The following is a 22610-nucleotide window of genomic DNA, read 5'->3' as shown; positions in this document are numbered from 1 at the left end:
CAAAGCAATTCAGTTCCTCTTAGCCTGGTCTTCTCTTCCAGCTTGGGCCCACAGTCTGTCCTCTTTCTCACCAAAATGTTCTATGAAGACTCATCAAGGTGTTTTCCTAAATGAAAGAAACATCTACTCAGGAGGTAGGAGGAACCACATCCGCTTCTTAAAACATAGCACACTTTTTATGTCCTGCTTTTGTTCCATTTTAGAGATGAAGAAACTGAGACCCAGAAAGTTTAAATTACTTGCCCTGATCACAAAACTCATAACTGGTGACGCTGGAAGTTGAATCCTGACTCCAAAGTCCATGAAGTTTGGCTTGTTCATCTCTGTAGCCCCAGAACTTAGCAAAGTGTCAGAACACATGGTCAGAGCTCAATTAGTGCGTGTCCTATTTGGATCTAATTAAAGGATGGCTGGCGGGTGTGGGTGGACGAAGAGGTCCTGGGCCTGTGAGGACAACTGGAGCAGAGAGAGGACAAATTGTTTAAGGAGTCGGTGGAGGGTGCTGAAGGGAGAGGGGGCTGGGCCCCCGTGCTGGCTGCCTGGAGTGGGCTGCCCCTCCCTGGCTTCTCTCCCTCCTGCCTTCAAGGGGGGCTGGTGCTCTGGGCAGAGGCTGCTGCCATCATTTATCAAAGCCCAGTAGCCTGAGGAAGCTCAGGGGCCATCCTGTAGGACACTTTCAATCAACTTTGGTTCAATTTATTCCCTCTAAATGACTCTGAAATGTAAATAAAATTAAATTAATGCTGCTGTATTTGTCTCTGGTTAGGGCTGTAATGGGCTTCAGTAATGCTGCCCCTGAGATCAGCTGTGAAGAGAGACGCTCTGACAGTAGCAGCGTGGCCAGCTTTGTGCCCCCCTCACACCGTCACCCCTCCATCCTCCCTGCTCTGGAGGGACAGACTACACTCTCCACATTCATCAGTGGGAGGGGTGAGAGGCTGTGGCACCTTCACCTCTTCTTTTTCTTCTTCTTCTTTTTTTTTTTTTGAAATGGAGTCTCACTTTTTCACCCAGGCTGGAGTGCAATGGCATGATCTCGGCTCACTGCAACCTCTGCCTCCCGGGATCAAGCGATTCTCCCGCCTCAGCCTCCTGAGTAGCTCGAAAAAGTCCTTCTGCCCTGTTCTAAAGCTCCAAAAATGTGGACACTGAGGGGGCTGGGGCAGTGGCAATGGGAGTATCTGTGGCAAGCAATCAGGTGGTCCAGGTAGGTTTGCGCTGAGGCTGAAGAAGGGGCAGGCCGGATGCAGTGGCTCACACCTGTAATCTCAGCACTTTGGGAGGCAGAGCCGGGTGGATCACCTGAGGTCAGGAGTTCAAGACCAGCCTGGCCAACATGGTGAAACCCTATCTCTACTAAAAATACAAAAAAGTAGCTGGGCGTGGTGGCAGGAGCCTGTAATCCCAGCTACTCGGGAGGCTGAGGCAGGAGAATCGCTTGAACCCAGGAGGTAAAGGTTGCAGCAAGCCAAGATCATGCCATTGCACTCCAGCCAGGGAAACAAGAGCAAAACTCCATCTAAAAAAAAAACCAATTGATGTCAGGGTGCCAAAATCGCCTCTGATTGAGAACCACAGCCCTGCAGGGAAGGTAGGGAAATGAGGGTGCATAGGAGGAGTGGGTGACAGAATCCTACAAGACATGCACGTCTTTCCACTCTGTCTCATCTAGCCTGCCCCCAAGATGGCATCTAAAATCTATCAACATTGTTCTAACATAAGTAATAAATGGCCATCTAAGCCTTTGGACTAAACACCAGGAACTCTTCCCTCCAGCAGCCTCCTCCACCCTCTCCCACTCCAGTCCCGCAATGTACCCAGCTCAGCCTCAAGAACCAAAAAGCTAAGAAAGGAGATTCCTTTGGGATTCTCCATTAGCAGAGATGCCCCAGGTGAAGGAGGTTTCAATACATTGAGATTCTCCAAGGAGAAAGAAATTTCTTGCCAAGAGGAGATTTCTGAAAGAAGGAAATTCCAAGTAGGAGGCTATTTTCTAACAGAAGTAGGGCCTCAACACTTCTGACTGAGTGGGCTATTAGAATTTGTCGATATCTTTCTAGTATTCAACTGCCCACGCGCCCAGAAGGGGCAGGGCAGGGCAAGGGCTGGTGGAAAACTTCCACATTCTGCTTCCTCGAGCTGGGACAAGAGAAAGCCAGGAAGCACGAGGAGCATTATCTCCCAGGGTTCAAAGTCCTGGTGACAGAGGCAATGACAATGAATTTGCCCAGGGAGAGGGAGGACAGAGGCGAGTCCCCATCCCCTGTGTCCTTTCACCTCTCACTTTAGCCTTCTCAATTTAGAGAACAAACTGTGGGGAAACGATCCTGTGACTTTAACTCTATTTATACATCTCCTAAAGCTTTTATGTGGTCCAGAAGAAGGCCTGGCCAGAACATTCCAGTTTACGCAGAGGAAATCAAAGAACATGTTTATAATCACATGACAAAGCCTGAGCCTAGACATACAACAGGAGCAGGGAAAGGGGATGGGGAGGCACCCCCACCTCCTACTGGATTCGCTATCACAAAATAATTAAAATCCCACCTCCCACCTTTGTAATTCCTCATAATCTGATTTGTGTGTATGTGTTCGGCTGTATTTCTGCCTCTTGCCAAAGTCTGTTCCTGCCAGAATTTCTGATTTTGGGAAGTCAGTAAAAAGCCATGGTCCAAAAGTACACTCAATCTGGAGAATTGTCCATCAACCAGCTTTGTGTCAGTAGGATGTTTATTTGACCCACGGCTGCTGGGCTTATTAACTTATTGTAATGTGCTGATCCAGATCCAACCGCTCTTGTGCTAAGTCTTTGGACTAATTTTTTTCCTGCTAATTCTGCCATGCTAGGACACCCTAATGCAGATGATAAAGAATCCAGTGATAGAACAGATGGGTGAGCACTTCACATATCTTCACATCGCTCTGTTAGCATGGCAGTGACTTTCAAATACAGCCTTCATCCCTTCCAGGTGTACAGAAGAGCCGCTTTGATCGTTCCATACCGGTAGACACTGTGCACCAGCCTCTCAGGACAGATGGAAAGGAGTGGGTTTAAAGTGCAGTGGCAAGGACTGAAGTTCTGCCCTCAGTGACTCCTCCACCTCCTCTACAGAACCCCTCTTTGTATCGCAGTTTCCCTGGGCCCTTGCCTGCCTGTTCCCTCCTGCCGCAGCCCTCCCTGGGTTGTCCCAGCCTCCCAGCTCCAAATGGAGCCTCATCCTTAGGAGCTGGGCCTGGCATACAAAGTGAACTTCATGGACTCTCTCTCCCTACCGTGTCCCAGGACGGGGTCAGGAATAATTGCAGGAGTGTAAGGAATCCAGATTTTCCAGACCCTTGCTGGAGAGCTAAGGTTTGAATCCATGCCATTTTTACTGCAAAGCCCTTTTAGGACAAATAGGATGAAGCAAGACTCTCTGCCCACCATGGCACTGCCCTCCTACCCGGTCTCCACCAGTAGCAGGTGTCCATATCCCCAGCCTTCTCTCCAACAGCCTCCTTCAAGATGGGGGCATTAGCACTCTATTGATGGCACAGAGCTTGGCCACTGTGCCAGCTCCCCCTCTTTGACTGTGATGAATGATGAGTGACTAGAGTGGGGAAGTGTATGTGTGTTTTCTAAGCAGATGAGGGGAGGCGAGGCAGACAGAAACAGGAGGCAGAACGCGAGGCCCAGGTACAATGGTTGACTGATGAAGAAAGAAAGCAATGGGTTGGAAGGAGAAGAGAATCAAAATGGGGCTCTAACAGAGACCAGGGTAGACTGAGAGGAGCCACAGGAGCTGAGTTGATCACCTTGTGCCTGTTTCCTCGAGCATTTAATGGGAACAATAATAGTACCTACTTCATAGGGGTATTGTGAGGGTCAAATGAGCTAATATACCTAAAGTGCTGGAACAGTGATAGTGGCTGGGCCTAGTGGCTCACATCGGTAATCCTAGTGCTTTGGGTTTTTTTTTTTAGATGGAGTCTCACTCTGTCGCCCAGGCTGGAGTGTGCAGTGGTGTGATCTCAGCTCACTGCAACCTCCACCTCCTGTGGTTCAAGTGATTCTCCTGCCTCAGCTTCCCAAGTAGCTGGGATTGCAGGCACTCACCACCATACCCGGCTAATTTTTTTGTATTTTTAGTAGAGATGGGGTTTCGCCATTTTGGCTAGGCTTCATCTCGAACTTCTGACCTCAGGTGATCCACCCACCTCGGCCTCCCAAAGTGCTGGGATTACAGTTGTGAGCCACCGCCCCTGGCCTGTAATCCCAGTGCTTTGGGAGGCTAAGGTGGGAGGATCTGTTGAGGCCAGGAGTTCGAGACCAGCCTGGGCAACATAGTGAGACCCTGTCTCTACAAAAAATAAAAATAAATTAGCCGGGTGTGGTGGTGCACGCCTGTAGTCCCAGGTACTGGGGAGGCTGAGGTCGGAGGATCACTTGAGCCCATGAGGTTGAGGCTGCAGTGAGCACCAGTGATTGCGCCAGTGCCCTCCAGCCTGGGTGACAGAGTGTGAGCCACTGTCTCAGCCAGGATTGGGTTTTAAGGATTATTAAATGCAGGATAGTATTTTAAGCTCTTCTCAGTCATTTACATCCTTGTGAGAATGAGTTTCAACTACTTTCACCAGAGCAGGTTTTATAGCAGACAAGGGAGAAGGCAAAAGGGTTTGGGACAATTTGGCCTGGGTATGGTTGGCCCTGAAGTAAGGGCTGATAGAGACCTCATGTAGCCAGGACCGGGCATTTTTTTTCTTTTTTTTTTTTTTTTTTTGAGACGGAGTCTCGCTCTGTCACCAGGCTGGGGTGCAGTGGCGTGATCTCGGCTCACTGAAACCTCCGACTCCCTGGTTCAAGCGATTCTCCTGCCTCAGCCTCCTGAGTAGCTGGGATTACAGGCATGTGCTACCATGCCTGGCTAATTTTTGTAATTTTAGTAGAGACAGGGTTTCACCATGTTGGCCAGGCTGGTCTCGATCTCCTGACCTCATGATCCGCCTGCCTCAGCCTCCCAAAGTGCTGGGATTACAGGCGTGAGCCACCGTACCCGGCCTAGGGTCAGGCATTTTATCCCAGACAGTTTTCTGTGATTGAGCCTGGGCTAGAAGCCAAATAGAAAATGGCACACACCCGAGTCCTGCTGTGCATGCATGTGGGGTCAGGGCCAAGGCTCAAACACTCACTTTGGGACACACAGTAAAATCTCTGTAACCTGATGAGGGTGAGAAAGAACAGTGCAATGGTTACAAAAGTAATCTGAAACCATACTGCCTGGATTCAAATCCTGGCTTCTGAATGTGCAACCTTGACTAAGTTAATAAATCACTTTGCCTTAGTGTCCTCATCTGTCAAGTGAGTGTGATGATAATACCTAATTATAGGGCTGTTTTTGTTGTTGTTTTAGAGATAGGGTCTCACTATGTTGCCCAGGCTGGAGTGTAGTGGTGGTATCATAGCTGACTATATCCTGTAACTCCTGGACTCAAGCAATCCTCCCACCTCAGCCTCCCAAATAGCTGTAACTACAGACATGCGCCACCATGCCTGGCTTCACAGTGCTGTTTTGAAGACTAAATGAGCTCATACACTTAAAATGCTTCTAACAACACCCAGCAACAAATAAGTTCTCCATATGACATGGGTATTTTTTGTTGTTGTTTGTTTGTTTGTTTGTTTGTTTGAGACAGGGTCTCGCTATGCTGCTCAGACTGGTCTCTAACTTCTGGCCTCAAGCGATTCTTCTGCCTCAGCCTCCCTAGTAGCTGGGGTTGTAGGAGTTCTCCACCATGCCTGGCTATGGCATAGGTCTTATCATTACCATCATTATTCCTACTATTAGTTGTAAGACTCTGAATTGAGAATAAGTACACCTTGATCTCATCTTGGTCTCTGTGGTTCCTCCTCCTTATCACTTACACTCCTGTGGGGCTAGTTACCCAATCCTCTATTATTCCCTAAATTGTTCCCCACTCTTTCCTTCTCCAGGGATGGTCTCCCAGGGACCAAGTTAGTTTACTGTGACCCTGGGATTGGATCAGGGTGCACCTGCCCAGAACTTTGACATTCAGAGGCTCTACCTAGGAATTTGAAATTGAGAGAGGCTGGGCACAGTGGCTCACACTTGTAATTCCAGCACTTTGGGAGGCCGAGGTGGGAGGATTACTTGAGCCCAGGAGTTGGAGACCAGCTTGGGCAACATAGTGAGACCCCGTCTCTAAAAAAAAGGCCAAGTGTGGTGGTGCATGCCTGTAGTCCCAGTTACTTTGGAGCAAAGGTGGAAGGGTCGTTTGAGCATGGGAGGTAGAAGCTGCAGTAAGCTGTGGTTGTACTATGCACTCCAGCCTGGGTGACAGAGTGAGACCCTGCCTCAAAAGAAAAAAAAAAAAAAGAAATGGAGAGAAAGAGAGCGCGAGAAAGCTGTCTGTAGGGGGCCTGAGTCAAACTCAACCTGAGGCTGGTCCTATAATCTAAGCTCATTTTGGGCAAAGACTATGTATTTTGGGGCCAAGTTGTGATGGTATCTTTGGATTCCACAAGACACTCCTCTGTCTTTATAATAACACATTTCCCTCTTTGTCCTTAAGTTAGTTTCTATTGCTTGCAAGCAGAGTTCTAACAAACATTCTTAAGTGTGTGTGTAATCGTATTCTCTGTTATATTGACAGTTTGCCAGTCTGACTCCCATGGCCTGGGCACTGCTTGAGGGTCATGACTGTACCTTCTATTTCTGTATTCCCAGTGCTCAGCATGGTGTTGCACACACAGCAGATGCTCAGTGCTGTACTGAATGAGTACAGACATTGGGGTGGGGAGAGAGGACAGGTATTTATTAGCACATGCTATGAATGCCATGCTCTTTTTGTATGTTACCCTCCTTGATCCTCCTCAGAGAATTACTCTTAAAATGTTATCTCCATTTTACAGACCAAGAAACTGAGACTTACAGGGTATATTAGGAATAGGTTCTGTTGCAAGTATCAGAGGCCCTGAGAGAAGTTTATTTCTCACTTAAGTGAAAGTCCAGAGGTGAGCTGTCCAGGTATTGCAGCTCTGCCGCATCAAGTCCTTTGGGCTCATTGCTCCACCGTCTCTAGGACGTGCCCCTTGTTATCATGGTCCAAGATGGTAGTTAGAGTTCCAGCCATCATGTTTGTTCCAGGTAGAGATGAAGGGAAGAATGAAGAAGGGAGCAAAGGGTGAATGACTTTTTTTTTTTTTTTTGACAGAGTCTCGCTCTGTCGCCAGGCTGGAGTGCAGTGGCACCATCTTGGCTCACTGCAACCTCCACCTCCCGGGTTCAAGGGATTCTCCTGCCTCAACCCCCTGAGTAGGTGGGATTACAGGTGTGTGCCACCATGCCCAGCTAATTTTTGTATTCTTAGTAGAGACGGGGTTTCACCATATTGGTCAGGATGGTCTTGATCTCTTGACCTCGTGATCCACCTGCCTCGGCCTCCCAAAGTGCTGGGATTACAGGCGTGAGGCACCTCGTCTGGCCAGGTGCATGACTTTTAAGGAAGCTTTGCTAAAGCTGCCACATGGTACTTCTTGTTATGTCCCATTGGCCAAAACTTTGTTATATGTTCACTAAGGGAATCTGGGAAATGTCTTCTGGGTGGTCATGTGCTAAGCCAAAATTTGGAGGTTCTATTTTTTTAATTTTAATTTTAATTAATTAATTAATTTTTATTTTATATTTTTTGAGATGGAGTCTCGCTCTGTTACCCAGACTGGAGTGCAATGGCACAATCTTGGCTCACTGCAACCTCCACCTCGTGGGTTCAAGTGATTCTCCCACCTTGACCTCCTGAGTAGCTGGGACTACAGGTGTGCACCAACATACCCAGCTAATTTTTATATTTTTAGTAGAGACATGTTTTTGTCATGTTGGCCAGGCTGGTCTCGAACTCCTGACCTCAAGTGATCCGCCTGCCTCAGCCTCCCATAAATTTTCATTTTTAAAGAGGGGATCTCGCTGTGTTGCTCAGGCTGGACTCAAACTCCTGGGCTCAAGTGATCCTTCCACCTCAGCCTCCCAATGGGCTGGGATTACAGGTATGAGCCACCACACCCAGCCAAATTTGGAAGTTCTATTGCTGTGGAAGAAGAGAGGCAACCCTAGCAGTCTTTGCCACAGATAGGTTAGGTAACCTAGCTAAGGCCACACAGTGGAGAATTCGCCAAAGCTGGGACTCAAGCCCATCTCTATGAGACACTTCTAATCAAAAGGATAGGGCAAGGTATTTACAACTTTTTAAAGAGAGGGTAGAGTATGCTAGGAGTTGGAGATAGGAGAGTTCTGAGGTCAAGATCAACAGGAACTTGTGCATCAAAATGCACATACTGAGTCAGGTCCCACAGGGGTGGATTATCTCTCCTTGAGGGGCTGGCAAATACGCGTGATGTCACTAGTTGTAGAGGAAGAGGTTGGGGTAAGTCTCCTAGAAGGACTTAGGTCACTTCTTGGGCAACAGCTTCAAGAGGCAGAATCCTGTAGCCCGGGTTCAGCCAGGCCCCCAGGGAGGACCTGGGAGGGAGCATAGTTTCCTCGTGACAAGACAGTTTGCAGCAGCACTCCAAGGTGGCCCAGTGCTGGGCTATGGAGAGGGCTTATCAGCTGCGAATAGGAAACTGCTGCATTTCGCTCCTAGAATTTAGCCTCAATCACTTCTTCAGTAAAGGCTTTCAGGCTTAACCCTTTGGGATTGGGCAGGGTTCTGTTCTCCTGAGGGGACCCTCCAGTCAAGGGGAGGCACTCTGGCACCAGCAGGGACAAGAAGCAGAGAGCCAGGGAGGGTGTAGCCTAGGCCAGCAGAGGCAAAAGCATTTCCTGCCTAAAGCTGGGTGCAATGAGAAGTGTGGGTGCTGAAGATCGAGGGTGCAAGGATGCGCAGATGATGCTGGACAGCTGCTGAATGGGAAGTCTTGGTTCCAGCAGTCTTACATCCTCTTTCAAGTTCTCCCACCACCCTCTGCCTCCAAAAGCATTAACAGTAGTATTTCTAGCTATGTGGCTTTGGGCACAGCAGTTTATCGTGAGCATCAGTATCCATCTGTACATATCTGAGCCTCAGTATCCTCATCTATGTAATGGGCAAAAATACTATTTTGAGGTAGGAATACAGGTTACCTACAGGGCAGCCTTGACTGGGGCAAAGCATAGGGGATGCTGGAAATGCTCTGTATCTTGATGTGGAGGGCGGTTACACAGGTGTACATACATTTAAAGATTCATCCGGCTGTATGTGCACTTAAGATAAGGGCACTTTACTAACATGTAAGTTATAGCCCAATATAAAAGTTAACAAATAGGCCAGGCGCAGTGGCTCATGCCTGTAATCCCAGCACTTTGGGAGGCCGAGATGGGTGGATCACCTGAGGTTAGGAGTTCGAGACCAGCCTGGCCAACATGGTGAAACCCCATCTCTACTAAAAATACAAAAAAAAAAAAAAAAAAAAAAAAAGAAATAGCCATATGTGGTGGCAGATGCCTGTAATTCCAGCTACTTGGGAGGCTGAAACAGAAGAATCACTTGAACCTGGGAGGTGGAGGTTGCAGTGAGCTGAGATCACGCCATTGCACCCCAGCCTGGGCGACAAGAGTGAAACTCCATCTCAAAAAAAAAAAAAAAAAAAAAGTTAACAAACAGAAAAGATGCCCCTCATTCTCAAGTCCATCCTAAAAGGTGATTGTGAGGGCTACAGGGTTGGTGAGAGCGAAACATTTCGCACAGGGCCTGCCTGGCACCGCAGTGTTCTCTCATCCCCTATCTGCACCTGGGATGGATCTGCAAGATGTAATCTCAAGAAAACTAGTTGCCCTAAGTCCTCCGGGCGAACAAAACTGGAGTATGGCTAACTACCAGGGAGATTTCTCTGACACACAAATTAAGGTATAAACACAAATGAGGGATGAGACGTCCTGGTTTTAGGCAGGAGAGGTATCATCATTTCTGTTTTGGAATTAGCTGAGGCACAGAGGGTGGCCAGGGTGTAGGAGGCCCAGGAAGTCAGGCCCCTGACTCCCAGTCCAGTGCTCTTCCCAGAACTGGAGTCGCCCAGATGGCCAGGATGTCAGGCCTGGCTCCCCCCGCCCCCATGTGGCCAGCCTGGGAACTCTCCAGTTGCAGTGCTGCCAGGACTGCCTGTGCACAGATGGGCGAGACAGGCTGCCCCTCCTCCCTGTAACTCTGCACTCGATGACAACATGACAACTCAGTAATGAGTCATCCCAAAGAATGAATGAGCTGGAGAACAAACCCCGCCTTCTGGAGGCGGGGGCAGGAATCCCAGAGTGGCTCCCCTGCCTGGCTGCTGCATATTCTTTGCAAACTTGCTTGTCCAGCCCCTGGGTCTACAGGAGAACAGGGATGGCAGTGTTATCTCCCAGGTGCCCTGGCTGACCTCTTGATCCAGCCACTATGCCCAGCCCCCAGAGCCTCTACATTTGATAGTCCCAGCGAGACTTCCATTCCTTGACCAAATGGTTCCCCTACCCTCCCTTAGGCACCTGCTCCCAAGTCCTCTTTCTCTTTCCAGCAGCCCCTTTCTCCCTGCTCCCTGACATGTACTCTCTAACTCAACCTGATTGTCTACTGGGCCCAAACCCTCCTGGCTGAGGTGAGAGCCTGTCAGCGGATCATTCATTACTGATACCCAGCAACCCCATTGTCCCCAAGCTGGTTTCTCCATCCCAATAAATCCCACTTGGTAGCCAGTCTAAATCAAGGCTTGAAAGCAATCTTAGTGTGAATTTCTGGATCTATTTGTTCACTTATCCATTCAAACCTTCAATAAGCATGTATTGAGTGGCCCCTGTATGCCAGGCATTATGGGGGATACTAGAGGTATAAAGACACAAAGCATTGTCATAGTCCCTAATTTGGCACCCCAAACTGTTCCTTTTTACTCTTTCCTCCTTCCCTTCAAAAGCTCTGTTTCTGAGTTTTTCAGCTTACTAGCTATGTGACCTTGAGCAGAAAACAAACAAGAAAAAGAAACCATTATTATAGACACCAAGTGCTATGCAAGGTGATTTACATCTGTTATTTAATTCTCCTGACAACACTGCGAGGTAAATATTATTATCCCCATTTTTCTAGGTGAGGGAATGGAGGGTCAGAGAACTTAGTTAAACTTGTCTGAGACCACACAGTTAACAGCTGGCAGAGCCATGGTTTGAACCCAGGTCACTCCACCTCCCCAAACCCGTTTCCTCATCTGTAAACTAAATCTGTGCCATACATAAAATCCAGGCTAGGTACAGGCTAGCGGGTTTAGAAACCCTTTCTGCTTTTCCCCACCCCTAGGTTCATGGCGAAGACCTTGGTCAGGGCTTCAGCTGTGCCATGCATGGCATGAAGACCCAAGACTGTATTTGGAGGCTTCTAGGGCCCGTCCAGGGGGTCCTGAGGCTGTCCTCTTCTCCCACAGATACGTTCATGATGTAGTGTTGTAGTAATCTCATCCCAGCATGGCACAACCCAGTGGAAGGAGGTGGAAATGGTATGTTGCCATTTATTTTAAAAGTCAGAAATGTGTCTCAAAATAATGAATTATTCAAAAGACAGGTACAAGGATGCTCACAGCAGCTTCATTAAGAATAGCTAACAAGGCCGGGCATGGTGGCTCATGCCTGTAATCCCAGCACTTTGGGAGGCCGAGGTGAGTTGATCACCTGAGGTCAGGAGTTTGAGACCAGCCTGGCCAACATGGTGAAACCCCATCTCTATTAAAACTACAAAAAATTAGCCAGACATGGTGGCAGGCACCTGTAATCCCAGCTACTTGAGAGGCTGAGGCAGGAGAATCACTTGAACCCAGGAGGTGGAGGTTGCAGTGAGCCAAGATCATGCCACTGCACTCCAGCCTGGGCAACAGAGTGAGACTCTGTCTCCAAAAAAAAAAAAAAAGAAAAAGAATAGCTAACGAATGGAGACAACACAAGTGTCCACCAACAAGAAGTTAAATAAATAAACTGTGATTGGGCCAGGCACAGTGGCTCATACCTATAATCCCGGCACTTTGGGAGGCTGAGGCAGGTGGATTGCTTGAGCCCAGGAGTTTCCGACCAGCCTGGGCAACATAGTAAAACCCCATCCCTACAATTTTTTTTTTTTTTTGAGATGGAGTCTCACTCTGTTGCCCAGCCTGGAGTGCAGTGGCATGATCTTGGTTCACTGCAACCTCTGCCTCCCGGGTTCAAGCGATTCTCCTGCCTCAGCCTCCCAAGTAGCTAGGATTACAGGAGCGTGCCACCACGCCTGGCTAATTTTTGTATTTTTAGTAGAGATGGGGTTTCACCATGTTGGCCAGGCTGGTCTCTAACTACTGACCTCAGGTAATCTGCCCCCCTTGGCCTCCCAAAGTGCTGGGATTACAGGCGTGAGCCAGTGCGCCTGGCCTACAAATTTTTTTCTTTTTAAATTAGCCGGGTGAGGTGGCATGCACCTATAGTCCTAGCTACTTGGGAGGCTGAGGTGGGAAGATCATTTGAGGTCGAAGCTGCAATGACCTATGGTTGTGCCACTGCCCTCCAGCCTGGGTAACAGAGCAAGACCCCATCTCAAAAAAAAAAAAAATCAAAATTAAAAAGTTGTGATACATACATGTATATATATTTATACAATGAAGCACTACTCAGTAATGAAAATAATTCCTATAACCACATGCAACAACATGGATGAATCCCACAGACGTGATATTGAATAAAAGTAACCAGGCACAACAAAATCACATACAGTGTGATTCCATTTATATGAAGTCCAAGAAGAGACCATATTAATTTATGGCAATAGAAATCATAACTGTGGCTACCTTTTGGGGGGTGTTGACTAGGAAGGGGCATATACATTTTGAGGAGCTGGAAATGTGGAAATGTTCTCTATCTTGATCTGGGTGATGGTTACATGAAAGTACACACATGTAAAAACTAATTGAGCTGTACCGTTGAGCCTTATGCACTTTACTGCATATATGTTATATATCAAGAAAAAAAATAATGGTAATGTTTCCCAGGGTGTTACATGTGTCTTGCTGCTCCCCCAGATCCCCTGTGCACACTCTCAGCCATGGCCACCTGAAGCAGGATGGGTAAAGGAAAGCTTTGCCTAAGAAAAGGGCAGGGAGTGCTGAGCAGGTGGACAGCAGTGGCTCTCAGAGAGGGCAGGATGGACACTTACTTGTTCCATACTCCAGCCCCTTTCTAGGAGCAGGTGGGTGCCCTTTTTCCCCAACCATCCCCTAAGTCATCAGTAAGGAATGTTGCCCTGGGCATGCTGGTTTGTGCTCTGGGATTCTCTCCAGACACACTGAACAAATGGCACCACCCATGCCCCCATCCAAAGAATGAGCTGCCATATTTCTTTCAAGAAGAGGTGGTGTTCGAGGCCCTTGCTGGCTCTTTATCTCGATCAAACCTCCAGGGTTTACTGCAGTTTACTGCTGAGGAAACAAGTCCTGAGGGTTGAGGAGCTTGTAGAAGATCCCCTGGTGAGTTAGCTGAGAGCTGGTGTTAGAGCCAGCCCTCCTCTTCCCTAGGTTGGAGTAGGAGTTTGGTTTGGGGACGGGCTTCTCCGCTAATCTGGTGACCAAAGCCATGACATATCAGCATGGGTACCCATGTATGGGAAGGAAGACAGGAAGATGTGTGTAGTCACTGGGCTGGTTATGGGGGTGTATGGAGTCCTTCGAAAGTTTTGTCTTTCCCCACATCGCTCCCCAGGGGAGAAGAAACTTGGAAGCTTTCCTTCTTTTCTGTGTCCACGACACCACCTTCCTTACCCTTCCCCCACCCCACAGACCTCTGCTGGCCACCCTGAGAAGGGCTGAACCCTTTCAGTACAATTTTCCATGTGGTTTTTGCTTTAAGACAATTTCCCATGTTTAGTAGCTGGCTGGGAGTGCAGAGGGTAGAAGTTAATGCAGTGGAGACCTGGGGTAAGAGGCAGCAATGGAGTGAGGGGGCAGTAAGGAGAGGTGGACTGCTTGCACTTGATGTGATGCCCTGCAGAACTATGATTATTAGTCCCAGTTCAAGGGAAAGAACACACACAGTTCCTCTACTATGTGGGAAAGAGAGAACAGAGTCCCTGCCCTCTAGCCAGCCCTGAGGTACCATGAGAACAGACCACCAACAAATCGTAGCTCCGCCCTTTCCTTTATTATACAATGAAGTACTACTCAGTAATGAAGAGAATTCCTGTAACCACATGCAACAACATGGATGAATCTCACAGACATGGTATTGAGTGAAAGTAAACAGGCACAACAAAATCACATACAGTGTGATTCCATTGATCTGAGAACTTTACTTCTGGGAAGTTCTCTCTGCTATCTAACTTCCATCCCTCCTGTTTGAGTTTCTTCCCAGCCCTCTGTCCTCAGAGGAAGTGGAGAGCCAGCAGGATGGCCCTCCTGTCAGCCTTGGCAGGAGTGAAGGACTTTAGACTTGATCTGTACAGTGGAGCAGGGAGGTAAATGACACTCTCTCTAGGCCCCACTTCCCTGCCTTTCTTCTGAGCCCCGAGACAGCTCTACCAGACCCTCCTCACTTAGGGAAGACTCACTTGGCTGCTGTCTGCACCAACCCCTAGGGTCCACCTCAGATCTGGGATGGCACCTGGGACAACCTGGGCATCTCAACTAGGGTGACTGGTGGCTGGACATCCCAGGAGGAGTGGGTGGCAGTGGCAAGTTGCTCCAAACCAAACCCATAATTCCACACTCCAGGGTGTCCAGGCCACCCCTTTATTTTTATCATTATTTTTTTTTTTTTTTGAGACAGAGTCTTGCTCTGTCACCCAGGCTGCAGTGCAGTGGGACAATCTGAGCTCACTGCAACCTCCACCTCCCAGGTTCAAGCAATTCTTGTGCCTCAGCGTCCCAAGTAGCTGGGATTACAGGTGCGTGCCACTGCGCCCAGCTAATTTTTTTTTTCTTTTTTTGTAGAGATGGGGGTTTCACCATGTTGGCCAGGCTGGTCTTCAACTCCTAAGCTCAAGTGATCTGCCTGCCTCATCCTCCCAAAGTGTTGGGATTACAGGTGTGAGCCATCACGCCCAGCCCCAATTAATTATTAAATATTTCCCACTTAGTGTTAATCATGTCTTTCTACTCCTATCTCCACTCACCCAGCTCTTCTCAGAGACAATCACCTTATCAGTTTCTTCAGTCTGCTTGTGAAGATATTATGTACAGATCCATAAATACACGTATATTCTGTTTTATACAAACACACACTGTCCTGAATTCTTTTTTTTTTTAGACAGGGTCTCACTCTGTTACCCAGGCTGTAGTGCAATGGCGCGATCTTGGCTCACTGCAACCTCCGCCTCCTGGGTTTAAGTGATTCTCCTACCTCAGCCTCCCGAGTAGCTTGGATTACAGGCTTGCGCCACCACCCTCGGCTATTTTTTTATTTTTAGTAGAGATGGGGGTCTCACCATGTTGGCCAGGGTGGTCTCAAACTCCTGACCTCAAGTGGTCCGCCCGCCTTGGCCTCCCAAAGTGCTAGGATTACAGACATGCGCCACCGTGCCCAGCCTGTCCTGAATTCTTGACAGTGTGTCGTGGTGGTGGCTCCATGTCAGCACACATCAAGCTTTCCTCGCTTGTTCCCTTGAATGGATTATAACACGTACATGCAGCACCTACTAAGTGCCAGGCACTGTGCGTTTGCTGAGCAGTGAGGTTGTAACAACAACCCAGCCAAAGTTACTGCCTTCCTGGGGTTTACAGTCAGGGAGACAAAGATAAGAACACAGACAGGTGCCTTTGTCTCCTGGTAAGTTTTATAACGGGAGAACTAGAAAGGCAGAGGAGTGTTGGGAAAGGATCCCGAGGGAAGTGACAGTACAGCGAGGCTGGGCGCCAGATGGGGCCCGAGTGGGCAGGCAGGAGAATTTCAAGTTGAGGGAACTTGCACAAGGCGCAGACATAAGACGCTATGATTCAATACGGGGAAGTGTAGGGGGGCTGATGGCCCTCCTGTCAGCCTTGGAAGGAGTGAAGGACTTTAGACTTGATCCGTGCAGTGGAGAGCATCCAGTGGGCTCAAGTGTGAGTGACGTGATCGGGCTCGTGTTTTGGAAAGATCCCGGTGGCTGCTGTGTGGGAGGAAGATGGATGGGATGAGGGGCCGCAGATGCAGCAGGGAGGCCAGCTGGGCACTCCAGCCATAGGCCTTGCCACTCACCTCGCCGGCTTGGCAGCCCACCCAGCCGTTCCCATGTGGGCTTGGGGTAATCATAGCCTTTTCTGGCCACATTGCCTCACCTCCAAAATGAAGCAGGGAGACGGATTCACTCAGCCCACAGCTCACTCATGACCTCAGCCTCCTGCTGGGTAGACCCAGGAGTCATCCTGGGTCCCCCGTCCCTGCCTGCCCACCTCTCCAGACACCTTTTCCTACCTGGATGCTTTTATGCAGGCTCTGCGCTCCCCTGCCACCAACGCTGTAGCCCCTCATCTCTTCCCAGTACTTCAGTGCTGGCCCCTGTTCATCACTCAGCCAGCTCCTCTCCTCCTCCCTCTTCCGGTCTTGCAGGTCAGCTCCTGTTCAGGAAGCCACTCCCTCTCTCCTGGTGGTTATTCAGCCACTTCTTAGGGTCCCTGTTCCATCCAGGTTTCTCTGGCTCCCCAGCTTATGTCTGGGTCCAAGGACGCCCAACTTGGTACCTCTTATGAACAGGAACTGGTGTCTCTCCTATTAGGAATTGTTTTTCCAAGACTGGGGGCTCTCTCTTCCTAAAGTCTCCAGTCTCTATGGGACTGAGATGGCCTTTCCCAAAGCTTCCAGGAGAACATCTCATCTGGTGCTGGTTTCTGTCCTCCACTTTGCTTTGTGCCTGGAAGGCTGACCTCTACGACTGCATCACTGGACTCTCTTGCCCTCTGGCTTTTAATTGGATGCAGGCAATGGGAGGCACTGCTGTAGATCTGAAGGCAGGAGGAGATAAAGCCCAGGGCGTCTATCCACCCCCTCCCTCGCTGCCAGGCGGCAGTTTGGGCAGCGGCTACATTTCTCTACCAAGGCTGTAGGCTGCAGCTCCTGTTGCGGGGGCTGCCAGCTCCCATGGCCACAGCTCCCGCCCTTTCCCTCTCCTCCTGGGATGGTAGCCACCCTGGGTGCTTTATCATAGTTTCCTTAAAGCTGCCCCCCACCTCTGTAAATAGCCTCTTCATTTATGCCCCTTCAATGAAACCTTGGCGTGTTTCCTGTGTTCCCTGCCAGGACTGACTGATACACTCCTCAACCCCCCACCGCCTCCCTCTCCCTCCACCCTCTTGCGGGGCGAGAGAGTTTGTAGATCTCCCTTGGTCACTGGTGATTCTTCCCTTTGAGCTTGCACAAGTTGCTTATGCTCTCAGTTTTCTCTTGGGAAAAGTGGGAATAATTGTCCGACTTCATTCCCGGGATGTTTGCAAGGATTCAACGCGTGCTCGCGAGTCGCGTGCGTGGCACAGTGCCTGGCCTACGGCAGAGCCTCGGTAACCATCGGCTCCTTCCCCTTGCGGAGGGGCTTCCTCCCCACACCTGCCTGGAGCTGACCTGGGGAGAGCGCGCGCTCTGAGACGGGAACTTCGGGACAGAGGGAGTGCTCCTGAGGACAAATCCTGTTTAAAACCACACCTGTGACTGCATTAACCGAGAGAGTGCCTCTCCACGCTTCATTTGCCTTTTAAATGAAGAGTGGGATGGGCTGTGAGTGGGGGCTCTGCTCATTACAGGAGGACAGAAGAGGCTGCGCGCCCTCCGCAGGCCCACGCTGTCCGCCATTAGCACAGCCCGGCCCGGCGCTGCTCGCACATTAGCCTTCAGGAATAAAAAGAATGATTTCGTAAGTCAAGAATAATTATTTCGACCAGCTTTCCTCCTCAGCTCGCTACTGCGCCGCCTGGGCTGCGTGTGCTGGCTGACAAATTAATTTCTATTATTTATATTGGGCTAGAGAGGAAGCACAGCCCGGGGAAGCGGGGAGCAGGGGGCCTGGGGGAGAAATGAGAGATGGAGATGGAGAGACAGGGGCAGGGAGGTGGAGACAGAGCAGCACAGGGAGGGGCGGAGAGGATGGGAAATGCAGAGACAGAAGAAGGGACGGTGTCTGGAGGAGGATGAAGGAGCCGAGGGGCAGGCTGGGTGAGCTCCGGACTTGGAAGGGCTGGGCCTGGGCCCTGGGGGTGTGGGCTTCGGCTCTGTTTCCGCTCCTCTGGGACGGGCACACAAGCCGGCTGGAGTCAGCTTCTCCATGAAGATCTGCCAGGGAGCCGGCCTCCCCATCCTCCGCATTTGAGACATGCTCTGGCATATCATTGAGCACTCAGGGAGAATGCTCTTCAGGGCCCATCAAAATGCACAGAAATGTCTCTCTCCCGGCCTCCCAGCCTCCTGCCATCCCCAGGCCTCCTCCCGGGAAGCCTAAGAAGGTCTTATTGAACTCACCCCACCCAATTCAAAACCAGGGGCGGCTTGGAGAAAACGTGCCCCTACCCACGAGTTGCCGGGTGGACACAGGAAGCAGAGCTGCTAGCAGGGTGTGCTGCTGGGGACTGGAAGCTCACACCCCTGTCCCTGAGCAAAGACTCAGGACGTGTGCCTTCAAAGGGATAGTGGGCAGGGTCGGCCTCCCCAGCCCCACTTCCTGCCAGGATGCACAGCCGGAGTTAACTGAGCTACCCGAATCTTAGACCTGCATCTTTTAAAATGATATATATGAGACATTTATTTATTGACTTTCTCTTTTGTTAAGAAAAATCTTAAGGGTACAGCGGGATGAGTTTTTACATAGTATACACACACTCACATAACACTAACCACTTAGATCAAGATAAAGCACTTCCAGCACCCCCAGAAGTCCCCTCATACCACAATCACCATGAGCTCAAGCTCATCCCCTCATCACCTTAAGGTAACGATTATTCTTTTTTTTTTTTTTTTTTTTTTTTTTTGCCAGAGTCTTGCTCTGTCGCTCAGGCTGGAGTGCGTGGCGCAATCTCGGCTCACTGCAACCTCCGCCTCCTGGGTTCAAGCGATTCTCCTGCCTCAGCCTTCCAAGTAGCTAGCTGGGATTACAGGCACCCGCCACCATGCCTGGTTAAGTTTTGTATTTTTTGTAGAGATGGAGTTTCGCCATTTTGGCCAGGCTGGTCTCGAACTCCCAACCTTAAGCAATCCACCTGTCTAGGCCTCTCAAAGTGCTGGGATTGGCCAGGTGCCAATAATCCCAGCACTTTGGGAGGCTGAGGTGGGCAGATCACGAGGTCAGGAGATCGAGACCATCCTGGCCGACATAGTGAAACCCTGTCTGTACTAAAAATACAAAAATTAGCTGGGTGTTATGGCGCGTGCCTGTAATCCCAGCTACTCGGGAGGCTGAGGCACGAGAATCACTTGAATCCAGGAGGTGGAGCTTGCAGTGAGCTGGGGTCGCGCCGCTGCACTCCAGCCTGGCGACAGAGCAAGACTCTGTCTCACAAAAAAAAAAAAAAAAAAAAAAAAAATGCTGGGATTACAGGACTGAGCCACTGCACCCGGCCAAGGTAATTATTATTCTGACCCCTACCACCACAAATTAGTTTTGTTGGTGAACTTCATATAAATAGAATCATGTAGTATATATCTTTTTATGTTGGCTTCATTTGCTCAACTTATGTCTGTCTATTGTCCATGTTGCTGTTTGTATCGGTAACTCATTATTTTTCACTGCTATAGAGTACTCCATCATATGAACGTTCCACAAGTCATTCAACCCTTCTCCTGCTGATAAGTAGCTGGATTTTTTTTCAGTTTTTGGCTATTATGAATAAAGCTTCATGCACATTCTAATACCTGTAACATTCTGCACATTAAGAACAGTGTGACCTTGGGCAAGGTGCCTAACTTCTCTGAGCCACAATTTTCTCATCTCTAAAATGGGAGGGAGGGAAGGTATTAGCTATCACATTAGGAAATCATGAGGGTTAAATGGGATAACACATGCAAAGTGTCCAACACAGTGCCAGCAGGTGCTTAATAAATGTCATTTCTTCTATCCCCATAATCTGTGGGAAGCTGGGAAAGAAGGTTGCTATATAGAATTTCCAGCCTGGGACCTGAGGTCAGAAAGACATCTCAAAAGCAACCACCACCGAATCAGCTGGGCATTGTGGCAGGTGCCTGTAATCCCAGCTACTCGGGAGGCTGAGGCAAGAGAATCACTTGAGCCCGGGAGGTGGGGGTTGCAGTGAGCCGAGATCGCACCACTGCACTCCAGCCTGGGCAACAGAGTGAGACGCCGTCTCAAAAAAACAAAAAGCAATCACCACCACCACAAAGTAATATTAAGAGTACCCATGACCATTTCTCGAGCACTCCCATGGCTGGTACTGTGCTGCAGAATTATATTGTTGTTTCTCCAATCTGTGAATCATCTGCATCTGTGGCAATAGGCAGCATCTGTGGCTGCTCCCTGAGACTTGATTCTCTGTGGCCTTTCAGGCTTCCTCGAGCATCAGATCAGATTCCCATCTTAAAGATGTGGGGGAGGCCGGGCGTGGTGGCTCACATCTGTAATCCCAACACTGTGGGAGGCTGAGGTGAGCAGATCACGAGGTCAAGAGATCGAGACCGTCCTGGCCAACGTGGTGAAATCCCGTCTTTACTAAAAATACAAAAATTAGCCGGGCGTGGTGGTGTGCACCTGTAGTTCCAGCTACTCGGGAGGCTGAAGCAGGAGAATCACCTGAATCTGGGAGGCAGAGCTTGCAGTGAGCTGAGATCGTGCCGCTGCACTCCAGCCTGGCAACAGAGCAAGACTCTGTCTCAAAAACAAACAAACAAAACAAGATGGGGAAACTGAATCCCAGAATACTTTAAAAGATTTGCTGCAAATCACTCCATCCATTTTGATCAGTTATTTACTGAAAGTAAAACACGTCTCTTTCACTCCTGGGACTTCTCACACCCAGCAGAGGGTCTAGCTCAGGGGGGTGCTCCTGTTTGTAGAATAGGTGGAAACTGCAGCCCTCTGTGCCCGATCCTTCCTTTTGGGCAGCCCCAAAAGGGCTGCTGCCCACCACCCCACTCTGCACCTGATTTCTCACTGAGAGAGGCCTCTTTGGCCTTAAACTGCTGTGACAAACAATGGAGAGCTTTACAGCCTGTCCTGAAAGTGAAAGAGGTCTGGTTCAATGTACTAAAGAACCCCAGCATCCTGGGATGATGGGAAACTCCCAGGGGTCATCCCATTTGGCCTCTGGCCTGGGGGTCAGTCCCAACTGGATCAGTGGCCTGCCTGCCTTCCAAAGCCCTTGGAGAAAGGGCTGCCTTTCCCCATGTTAGGGATGGAGGTAGAGGAGACCTGAGGTTAGGAGGTTACAGCCGACTGCAGTTCAGCTTGTCCCGCTGCCTGGGTGGCCTCGGGCAAATCACTCAGCCTCTCTGGACCTTGCTTTCCTTGTCTAGGATAGGTCCTTTCTAGCTAAGGGGAGTACTTTGGAAGAGAGGCAGGAGCCGCTTCACTCCACTTCAGAGATTTGGCGGGGGGTGTAGTGGGGAAGCAGTTCAGGCTGCAGTAGTTCCACTCAGGGCCTTGGGCTGCTCTCCTCCCTTCCTGCAGCCATTTGGAGGAGGGGCCACTAACTGTGAGGTGGAGGGCTGCTAATGAGCCCCCTATGGACCTCAGAGACAGCGCTGATGGCACTAAAGGACTTCCCTGAGTTTCCTTAAAAGCCCTGATGGCAGAGAAGCCTCCATTAGCAGGAAGATTAATTATCAGACAGATCTTGGCCACTCCCAAGGTGCCCCTAGCTGCCCTTGCTGCGCCCTCAAGTCAGAGAGGATGGAGTTTGGATGTTCCCACCCATGACCTGCCCTATCTGATCCCAGGTGAGAGAGCAGGGACAGGAGATGGGGGTCTGTGGGTCTGGGCCTGGAGGAAATAGCAGGGAGACAGAAGGACGGGGGATGGGGGCAGGGGGAGGGGCCTGTAGGGAGTGATTGCAGAGAGACCCCCAGGAGAATGTAAAGTAAATGCAAAATATGCAAACCATTAGTGATTAGTTGTGGGTCAATTACTCAGGTCCTCTGAGTCATAAGTTGGCAGCTGTGCACTCCAAGCCTCTGATTGGGCCCAGGGGAGGGCCAGCTGGCATGACCTTGGGGGGCCTGGCCCAGGACCTCCAGCCCCTCAGGTCACCAGCCCTTCTGGGCAGCCTCCCAGGCCACCACCCCTGGGCAATAAGGGATCCAGGCAGCTGGAGGATCAGAGAAACCTCTGTTCATGCTACAAACCGCCCCACCTGCTCCAGAGCACAGGCAGCCCTCAGCCTCAAGGCGGCCATGCCAAGCTCACCCACTGAGGGTACTGGGGCCAAGTCTCTTCTCTCCCCTCCCCTTTCATGGTGTGCAAATTTCCCTTCTTCCCTCCCCCTCCACCCTACCCTTTTCCCTCTGGCCTCTCAGCCTCTGTCTGAATAGCCCCACTTCCTCCCTCTCTCCACCTGTTAATGATTCCCAGTGACCTTGCCTCAGTACCTCGGATGGGAAATACCAACTTCAATGCCTTTGTGCCTCAGTCACTTAATTTGCACCTGGTTCTCATTTGACACATTTAGAGGGCCCAGCCAGCCCTGGGGCAGGGAGGGA

The 22610-nt window shown here is 49.9% G+C and overlaps 3 annotated features.

The window, feature by feature from the left end:
- Positions 10015-10309: an enhancer, noted in NCBI's record as "tiled region #13021; HepG2 Activating DNase unmatched - State 1:Tss, and K562 Activating DNase matched - State 8:EnhW". NCBI's record gives its function as "activates a minimal TATA promoter and a strong SV40 promoter by Sharpr-MPRA in HepG2 cells, with weaker activation in K562 cells {active_cell/tissue: HepG2 | K562}" and the evidence as "EXISTENCE:reporter gene assay evidence [ECO:0000049][PMID:27701403]".
- Positions 10015-10329: a biological region, named in NCBI's record as "Sharpr-MPRA regulatory regions 13021 and 15353".
- Positions 10035-10329: an enhancer, noted in NCBI's record as "tiled region #15353; HepG2 Activating DNase unmatched - State 1:Tss, and K562 Activating DNase unmatched - State 8:EnhW". NCBI's record gives its function as "activates a minimal TATA promoter and a strong SV40 promoter by Sharpr-MPRA in HepG2 and K562 cells {active_cell/tissue: HepG2 | K562}" and the evidence as "EXISTENCE:reporter gene assay evidence [ECO:0000049][PMID:27701403]".

Source organism: Homo sapiens, chromosome 6, assembly GCF_000001405.40.
Source record: "Homo sapiens chromosome 6, GRCh38.p14 Primary Assembly".
Taxonomy (NCBI): Eukaryota; Metazoa; Chordata; class Mammalia; order Primates; family Hominidae; genus Homo; species Homo sapiens.
The sequence above is the reverse complement of the archived record's forward strand: the minus strand, read 5'-3'. Positions and strand labels throughout refer to the sequence as shown.